The sequence below is a fragment of the Homo sapiens genome, chromosome 8 (genome assembly GCF_000001405.40).
Source record: "Homo sapiens chromosome 8, GRCh38.p14 Primary Assembly".
Lineage (NCBI taxonomy): Eukaryota > Metazoa > Chordata > Mammalia > Primates > Hominidae > Homo > Homo sapiens.
Genome location: NC_000008.11, coordinates 79,610,873 through 79,621,002, shown reverse-complemented (window position 1 = coordinate 79,621,002; position 10,130 = coordinate 79,610,873). Strand labels below are relative to the sequence as shown.

General features: G+C 40.5%; 1 protein-coding gene across 3 annotated transcripts in view, besides 1 other annotated feature; it reads right to left on the bottom strand.

Annotated features, from left to right (window-relative positions):
• Positions 1 to 9,886, bottom strand: part of STMN2 (stathmin 2) — a 55,042-nt gene extending 45,156 nt beyond the window's left edge. For 2 of the 3 annotated variants that reach the window (NM_001199214.2, NM_007029.4), the window contains exon 1: positions 9,789 to 9,886. In NM_001199214.2, coding sequence (NP_001186143.1) covers positions 9,789 to 9,807 — 19 coding nt within the window. In that variant the 5' untranslated portion in view covers positions 9,808 to 9,886. Of the gene's footprint in view, positions 1 to 40; positions 62 to 9,788 lie in introns of those variants that run through there. The other variant, XM_005251142.3, reaches the window with a different exon arrangement.
• Positions 7,577 to 7,636: a silencer, noted in NCBI's record as "silent region_19310". NCBI's record gives its function as "represses an Ori minimal core promoter by ATAC-STARR-seq in GM12878 lymphoblastoid cells {active_cell/tissue: GM12878}" and the evidence as "EXISTENCE:reporter gene assay evidence [ECO:0000049][PMID:35858748]".
• Positions 9,887 to 10,130: the final 244 nt, after the last annotated feature.

The following is a 10,130-nucleotide window of genomic DNA, read 5'->3' as shown; positions in this document are numbered from 1 at the left end:
ATGCTGTCCTGGCCTGCTGCTTGGGGACCCTACAGGTCACTGCTGTTTTAGGTCTACTCCAAGTGTGGTTCTGAATCAGCCTCATCAGCACCACCTGGGAGCTTGTTAGAAATGCAAATCCATGGGACCTGCTTCAGACCTAATAGAGTGAGAACCTCTGGGGGTGGAGGCTAGCTCCTCAAACGCTGCTGATTCTCAGTAAAATTTGGGAAGCATTTTAATTAAAGAATTCTCTGGCCAGATTGGTTGATGGACTCATTAAATATTTAAATTTTTCAGCCTTTTGGTGGATCTTGGTACTTCCTAGTTGATGTTACTAGTGTATCATTATGTACTATCTTGTAATATTGTAGGGCAGTTTAACAAAATTGTTAAGATGGTGAAATTGTGAGATGGTGACTTCCATTTATAGTTATAAATTACCATTATTACTATTGAACTTTCTGACATGTACAGGATCTTTTTTTCTGCAAAAGACTAAATCCACCAAGGGTGAGGAACATTTTTATTTTTGTTCTCATAATACCTGGCACAGGCTTCAGAACAAAGTTGGTGCTCCAATCTATTTTACTTTAGTTAGTGACACTGACTATCAATGACTTTAAACTGAAGACAAATATGCCTCGTGTATGACTATTCTCACTGTGCATGTTTTATTACAGGACAGTGGAGGGAGTGCTAAACCTTATTTTGCATGAATGTGTATATATGTATGAAATAGGCACATACATGATATATAACATATTTATATATTACATATAAATATTTTGATAGGTAAATAATATACACAACTTTATTATATGTAATATATATATTATATGTTATAATATATATATAATATATATTAGACCTGTGTTCCGAGTCTGCCTCTGAGGCTTGCCACTGAATAAATTATTTGAGCTTAAATTTACCAATCTTTAAATAAGACAACTTGTATAGTATGCCCATCTCAGAGGGATTATATGAAGATTCAAAAGGATGAAGCAGGTGAATGTTTTCTAAAAATGACAAGGTCCCATATAGATAGATCATGCGATTTAATTTTTCTTTTGAACATTTTTTAGTCTTCTATGCTTGCCTGCTCCTTTTAAAAAACTATATAAGAAAAAAATCATCAGAAATATAATAAAAAGATAATTTTTAAAGTGACAAGAGTGCAGGATCATGTAATATGTCATTAAAAGACTAGAACAACTTTGGTAATTTTTCATGTGTTTGAATATTTATTATGAGAAGGGTGCTAATTGGAATTTCTCAGATAAAGCTGTAAGACTTAAATAATAACAATAGATATTTTTGTTGGAAATAAAAAGTAACTCTGCATTAATAAAAATAATTATGTTCTGAAGCAGAGTTCCCAGGGAGGCTGCAATAAGTCTATCCTAAAAGTGCCTGAGATGATTAATGTTCTTCCCGAGAGTCTGGAAATGATAACAGTACCATCTTGATGGGATTTTCTGGTCTCAGTTTTGTAACAGTCAATATATTATAAGTTGGGGTTGTTTCGTGTGAGTTAGGTTGCTCCTCACTAGGAAGCCCAAACTGGGAAACTATTATTATAATAGGTTTACTGTGAGCAGCTTTGTTAATGGAAGTTAAACTTTATGGCTGCATTTCATAAGGAAAAAAAACTTCCAAAGACAGAGTAGAATGCTAATAAAAATTTAATTTACACTTTAACATGCTCTCTTGTAAAAGTATTTGTGGGACTAGGTTTAGATAAATTTCACTCAATTCTCTTTATCCTGATATAAAGACATACAACTAAAAGATGGACAGATTTATTATCCTGATGATCTATTGTTATATTGGGTACTTGTACTAATGGTTAATGTGCGAACTCCAACATCCAAAATACAATTATTCCAGAAGAATAACTGCTAAATGGGCACTCTTGCAGGCGTTGCTTTACAATCTTTGTAAAAAAAAAAAAATCATTCAGTCCTAGGCAATATTTTTGCCCTATAAAAATAAATTATTTTAAATGTGCTCTATGAGAACTGTAATTATCTATTTCTTGCCATAAAATAAATTTTGAAACCCATAACTTTCCAGAGTATTAAATATTTTACTCTGGAGGTCAACAACAAGTGAGAACAAACTTAAAATATTTTTGTTATGGTTTTATAGTATAATATGTGGCTCCTACTCTAAGTACAATTCCTAAAGAAGCTATATTTCCACATGACCAGCAAAATGATGGCTGAAATGCATTAATTAACCTTTACACTCATATAAAAGTGTTTTGTGAGAACAAATGTACACAAATGTTATCTTTAATCATGACTAATAAAAATGGATATTATAAACACAAGCTTTACTACTGCAAATGTCTCCTTGACAAATGACAGGGCCTGATTCCTTTATTAAAAGATAATTAAAAATGTTTCACAAGGGATTCAAAACCTTCCTACAGTTCTCTCCTGCCTGCCTGCCTGCTTTGATGGTAATATGAAGAGAATCTTGAAATAACATCTAATAGTTATATTAAATGTGAATGTGTAAATTTATTTTATTCAACAAAATGTTAAAACTAAATATCTCTGGCCTATGGAAGTAGTTAAGGAGGCATTTTGAAATGTGCTAACCATGATGGGACTGAGGAGATTAAGTCAATGTTATTTCTGGAACTGGTCATCAGAGTGTGTTCCCACCAGAAATCGATGCTGTGCTGAGCCTGCAGAACGCCATGTGTCTCATACGTTACAACCCACACGGCCTCATAGCTCTCTTTCTCCCAAAGCCTAAATCATGGCAATTATTTGAATAAGCCCCAGGTAAGCTATTAAAACTAGGCATCAATTTGGAAGTATTTTCTCTTCAAGGTGAGTCTGTGATCAGAAAGGAGAAGACCATCTCTGGTCTGTTTAAATAAAATGGTGATATCACAGGTGTGACCTCTGCAATGGGAGCTCACCTCTAACATGGAACAGATATGAGACTAGCAGCAATCGGTGAAAGATGGATTCCGAAGCCAGATGGCCTGGGCCCAAATTCTGGATCTGACTAACTGTGTGACCTTGAGTAAGATACTTCAACTTTCTGTGCCTCAGTTTCCATATCTGTAATAGAACCTACTTAGGATTATTAAGTGATTAACACAGTTAATATGTGGAAAGTTCTTAGAACAATGCCTTGCATGTTATATGTGCTATACAAGGGTTAAATCAATCAATAAAAGTTACTTCCCATAGAGAATCTGGAATTTATGAATACACCAGAAAAACAGTTGAAAGAAAGCACCATTGCGGGAAAATGTTTGAGTAAAGAAATAGGAAGACTTATTGGCTCGAGGCCCTCAAGTTTAGATTTTTGTCATCTCCAAATGAGGTTATACAGAGAGCCCTGCCCGACTGCCAGAATTAAACATTTAAAACATGAATTACTTTTGTAATGCTGTCTTAAGTGTGTCTTCCTTTCCTTCAATGTACAAGAAATTGCAAAAATGGAAAGTTTCCCAGCTTCTGAGAGACCCTGAAATGAACTGTTAACAACAACTGAATGGCTAACTTTGAGACTTAGTCCAACTTTGTGTTGAGTAACAGTATATTCTGCAAACCCTGAAGCTAGTTTTATTTGGGATCATGTTTTTAGTGCCCTATTTGGGAAATGTTATATTTTTTAATTTGAGATATTTCGTGTATTGTATCATTTTTGCAGCATAATATTTCCAGAAAGGTGGTAATGGCTGCATGGTCAGCCAGTCACTGCATGGGAGACCTGACTATGTCTTTGATGCTATTCCTTGAAGATCCTCTTTCTGATCTGTAGGTTGACTTCCTTAGAAAGTTAGAATTGAATAATGAAGATCCTTTATTGGCTTAGATAAGCAGAAGAAAACACTCTTTTCAAATATACAGTCATACTCAATAAATTCTTAAGAATTTTCTCACATGGTATTCAGGAAGAAATACTCTTAGAATAATTTGGTAAATAATAAATATAAGATATATTGAGACAGCAATCTTTTGTTTTAATTTCTTCAGTATTGCTATTCATAAATGATAGTAAGCTTGCATTATTGATTTATCATCCTTGTCAACTGTGCCACAAGCCGCATTCACATTCATTTCTTCTTAGGCAGGCTGTCTGTCTCTCTCTCTCGCACACACGCACACATGCTCACACAGAGAGCCAAATTCTTATTTTCTACCTTTCTCTCGAAGGTCTTCTGCCGAGTCCTGCAATATGAATATAATTTTAAAAATCCAATTAAGAGAGAGTGATGGGGCAGAACACATAATTCCCAGAGTAATAAAATCCCCAGGTATATGAGTTCGGAAGTAAAATATTTTGTAAAGATTACCATAGATTTAAAAATGTTAAGACATAATACCAGAGCTTACCAGGAGGGATACCTGTATATTACAAGTTAATATCCCTAAAACTGATGTGTTTAGTGGTCAGAATCAGCATCATCTGGGAGCTTGTTCGGAAGACAGAATGTCTGCCTCAAGCCAGATGTATTGAATCAGAATTTGCATTTTAATGAAAATCAAAGGTAATTCATATGCACATCAAAGTTTGAGGAACACAGTAATATGACACTATTAAATATTTTATAGCTGGATTAGAATTACATAAAATGTAATCAAAAAATAATTCTATCAATGCATATTTAAAAAATCCACTTTTGATGATACCCAAAATTAGTTTATACTTATATATTTCTTCTTACTTCGTTAAAATTAACATCGATTTTCTAATAAACAGAAAACCACTACAAGGAGATGCTCAATAATTGTTGAAATCTGATAAAACTAGATTGAAATCACATTGGATTAGATTTAAAAAGGTATCTTTAAATGGAAAAGAAAGACAGACTTAGAAGATGGGAAAAATAACAGCAGTCAGTTTTTGGTACACCTCCTCAGTATCACATACCTGCCTGTTTTACTCGCTAAGCTGCATGTTCTCTGCAGGTGGAGACTCTGATATTCAGATGTGCTCTGAACAGGGGGCACATTTCAATCGATGAAGAAGTAAACAATGATTTTCTTTAATTTATTCCTTTATTTTTAAGCATTAAAATATTCGGCTGCTAAATAACTTTGCTATTACTACTGACATTTTTCTACTATTTATCCACTACAAAATCTCAGAAGTAACATAAATGGTATTATAATAACAATGTAATAAAACTGAGAAGTAAAACCATCAGGGAATAATTAACCAGGGCGTGTATCTACTTTCAGATTATGACCACTCATTTCATCCTGTCTCCTTGAAAATTGTACAAGCTCTGTTCATCCACTAGGGTAAAGCATGGCATCAGCTTATTGAATAAACACTTGAATGTTCCTGGTAAAAGAAAAGATTTTATTAAACAGTTAATATTTGGAACTAGGTTTACATCAATCATCTGCTTTTTTAGAGAACATGATTGCCCTCTAGTGTGGTGAAAAGTTAATGCAGACACCGAGGTTTTCCAATGGACAGAACCAGTCTAGGTTCTGAAAACATCTGGGTCACTGGCTAGTTCAGTATTTTCTTTTTTAATGAAAAAATTCTAGCATTTTTTCATATAAGGTCACAGATCTTGTGACAACAGGATAATATGTGTTTTTCTTCCCACGACCAAAAAAGAAACTGGTGTGAGCTGGGGTTCGCTATCAGCAGCTCCCAGTGGCCACGCCCAGGCCTAGGTTTGTGCTCTGAGCTTCCTCCTGCTCGGAGGCCAGCTTTTTTCAGCCTCCTGTGAGCAATGAGCTACCAAGGTAGCCTGAGCATGTGATCAGTCACACTCAGTTGAAGTAAAAAATAATGGTGATTGATAAATCCGGAATTTTCCTAAAGATGGCCTGAATTTATCAATGACAAAGTCTTCCATTCAATATGTATCGATTCATCCTCCACTTCATTGTTAGTTGTACAGATTTAACTTTAAAATTCTGTTTGATAGCTACTGCTAGGTATTCACAGAACTAAGTAACTATTTGATCTTAAATTATAGGGAAGAAAACTATTTTATTATATGAATCAGCCTTATGGCACTCTGAAAGGACATTTCCTGAATCTGAGTAAATTGTAGCCTCTTGTAGCATTTTTTAATCACTGAGAATGAGCTATTTGATGGAAGTCATATTGTGCCAAATGATTAAATGCTTATTCCACCATCTATCCATTAGTAATTTGAAAAATAAAAACCCAAAGTAATTAAAACTGCTTTCAATGCAACAAATAAAAGTTTGCTAAAAATATTAATGAGGTAATAGCTGTAACAATAAAAACACTCATTTCTCTTTTAGAATAGAATAATTTACTACAAATCTGTAAGTCACATTATTGTAAAAAAAAACCATTGTGAATTTTGACTAAAGTTGTAGATTTTAATAGCACAAATGTCCAATCTTAATTATCATTTTAAAATATACTTTCTCTCAGAGAATTTTAACGTGCATAGACAAACACCACAAGGTCTATTAATTTATCCTATCATTCTAGCTACCTGCGACGTGTTACACTGGGACAGAGAGTGTTTATTGCAGGCTCAGCTTACTCACCTGGTATAAACTAAATACATGAGATTAATTGATAAACTACTGCCATTTCTTTCAGTTTTATCCTGAAATTCTGACCAAATCCTCAGCTTTTCATTTCTAGTTACTTATATATCCATTCAGAAGGTGCCCACTTCATTAGAAAAGATAATGGGGAATATTATATGCACCTCTTACAATCATGCTGAATACATAATTGTTTAATGAATCAGGAAAAAAGCACTCGCCCTGATAATTAATTATCTTTGAAATTGGAATTAATTTCAAAATCTATTATTTTAATACTGCAGAAGTAGTGTTTTTTTCATGATTTGCAAATGCAGTTAAATTATGGCCAGAAAGGATGCTTGCGTTTGTCATATTTGGGGTGGGATTTTTATTTGGATGGCGGCTACCATTTCACGATCCATGTATCTGTGTAGGATTGAGGCTGTATCAAGAATCAGCAGTTGGAAGAACAGTTTCAGGGGAAAAAACTTAAAATTTTGTGCATAAACTATATTTATATATTTATAGATATAACCTTATGTTGAAGATCATCTCAATTATATATGTGTATTCTCACCCATTGCAGCCACAAACAATTCTTTGCAGAGAATTTTCCAGCAATCGTTGGCACACAAACCCTGCTCTTAGCAAGCACTTGCACATGTATCTTAGCCACATGAACATACATAATCCTGGCAGGAAGCAAAAATATATTTGCTTTATAACTTAAAATGAACAACTGGAGACAAATTTACCTTTTTGTGGGGGAAAGGGATGAGGGCAATTAGGAGGAAGCAAAGCGAACGCAACAAGGGTTAATCCTTAACCAAGAGCAATCCACGTCCCTTTTGAACAAATGAGAACAAACAAGGCTACTGAATCATTAAATAATAACAACGATTTGAAATGATAATAATACTGATGATGACGATGAGTTTGCAGCCACTAGCCTGCAGCGGAAACCTTTCTGAGGGGTGCAGAAAGCGAGGCGAGATCGCCCCCACCACCCATTCTCAGAACCTTTCTGGACGTGCGAGTGAACTGCGAATTGTGGAAAGCGGGGGTAGCTCAGGACACTGCGCAGAAACCGGTCTCCCCGGCTGCACCGCGGGGGCGAGCGCCCAACTCCGGGGAGGGGAGCGCAGGGCGCGGCGCGGGGCTCTGCAGGGCTGGCTGCGCTCCACACACCCAGTCGCCACGTGCGCCCCCACCCGGCCAGCGGTAGGCGGCTCTGGGCCTCAGCTGGGAGGGGTGGGGCCGAGCCGCGCCCCGCTGGAGGAGCGAGGGTCTCCCTTAGAGAAGCCCCTCGCGGGGTCTCCATTCTGGAAAATCATAGAGAACAGAGGGTGGGCGGGGGGCTTGGGCTGGGGGAAAAAAAGCCCCGAGCTCCGCGGACCGTGGGTGGGCGAGAAGAGACAGCCCTCCCTGAATCCCTGGGAAGGGGGTCACCTCTGCGGTCTCGCGCCCGGGCTGGGTGGGGCCGCGCCTTTGTGTGGCCGGGCGGGGCTCGAGCCAGCTTTTCTGCAGAGCCACCCGCTTGGCTGGGAGGGGCTCGGTGCTGGGGCTGAGAGCCACGCCGGGGGTCTGCGCACATCAAGGGGTGCTCGGGCCGTTGTGGACTGCGGGGCTGAAAAAAGAGGTTCCAGGACTGCATACAGCTCAACTGCCCCTCCCATATTCCTCTTCCCCGCCAGTCTCGGAGCCTGAGGTCTCCCCGGCTCCGCGGGGAGGGTAGGGCAGGGCGGAGCCGCGCAGATGGAGTCCTTTCGGCAGCTTTCCCTGTCTCCGCATCCTGCAACCAAGTCCCGGGGGACACGTGCTTCCAGCTGCCACAGGACCCCAGGCCCCACCCTGCCTTTTCACCCCGGGGCCACTGAGCGCCAGAACCGTGGGCACTCAAGGCACAAGACCAATTGCGGATGAAGGCCCTGAATCCAGAATCTTTTCCGGTCATCCTGTGTCTCCACTGTCTTGTCTCTCTGAGCTTATGAAATTGCCGATATTTGGCACTGTCTGACCCACAAAACGGAAATTTCGCGTGGCTTAACTTAAGACTTTGACCTCTTTTGCTTTATATACGATTTCATGTCATCTCTATTATTATACATACACATGTCTAGGTTCTAGAAGCTTTTCCCGCAAACGATCAAAGGTCTTCAAAGAACCCTTTATCTGTGTCTATGTCTAAACACTCTATGTAATTTGCTTCCGAAAAGAAAAATGTTAACCCACTTTTCCCATCTCTCTTAAAAGCAGAACAATGAGGCCAGCGTGGGGAGGGCGGGGTCAGTGGTCAGGTCTCTCTTGGAAGCCGCGGCGGGGAGTCGGGAGCGGGGAGCGCGGGGCGTGGCGCCGCTGTCCCCGCAGGGTTGGGCTCCTGGGTGTCACGCTGCGCTCCCCACCCGACCCCCTTTCGAATGAAGATGCAGCACCGGGCGGGGGGGCGGGGCTGCGCGGTTCCGCACTGGGTGGGGCTGTCCGCATTGTGCGCCCAGCGCTGCAGGTGCCTCCCCCCGGGACCGCTGGTCCGCACACAAAGAAACCCCACCCCAGCGCCTTCGAAGCCGCTGTCCCTCCACCCCTCCCTGCCGCGCGCTTCCCCGCCCCTGCAGCTGCCCACCCGCGCCCTCCACGCCCTCCGCGACTTCCTCTCTCCTTCCCCTCCCTTGCCCTAAAACAAAGGAGCGGAGGTCCTACCCCCACCCTGTCCCCCGCCGTCTTACCTCCCTGCACCGCACCCCAGGACTAGCGGTTTCTTCGACGAGACAATACCGTAAAATGTGCCCAGTTCTCTCCATCCCCTCCCCCCGTCTCCACCCATCTTTCAAACAGCGGGATGGGACCGCTTTGACTTTGCAATTTTCTTTTTCCTTTCTCCCACCTTCCCTTTACCCCTTTCCTATTTTCTTCTTAAACTAGAGAAGAAATAAAAAAAAAAAAGGTCGTTATAAAGCACTTTCCAAAATGTCCCTTAAGCCCATTTAAGGCAAACAGTTAAGGTAGCTTCCTCCCCTCACGATTGAGTCCTAATTTTAAATATGGAAACAGAATAAATTCTCTACCCATAGGAGGGCAACTTACCCGCTTCTACCTTTTAAAAGAAATTCTTCGCTTTAGATTTCCATAGACCTCTTCTCTGCCCTCCCACCTCCCCCAGAACTGCCCTGTCCTTCCTGGTCCTGTGTTACCATTAACATCTTTTTCTTTATAAAATATCTCTGAATGCTTCTAGAGCTCAAGAGAGGAGGTGAGAGGTGGGCTCCAGGTAGAGCCGACGGAGAACGAGGCGCAGTGCCTTACCCATTGCTGTTTTAGCCATTGTAGGGATGTGCAGACGCTGAGCAGTGGCGAAGGCAAAGGGTCCGGCTACAGCAGCGGAGAGAGCGAGAGAGAAGACTGAATAAGGCACTGAGTCTGCAGAGTGGGACCGTGCTAGAGAAAGAGCAAGAGGCAGGAGCCCATGAATAATTATCACTCAGAAGCTCAAGCAGATTGGCTCCCAAGGTCCCCTGACATGACTCCCGCAGAGTCAGAATCTCCAAGCATTAAATATTGATCGGCCAATGGTGCTGGAGTACAAAGTACCAGAATGCAGTTTGAAATGGAAATCAGTCCTTCCCTGTCGGCTCCCCCCATTTTGGG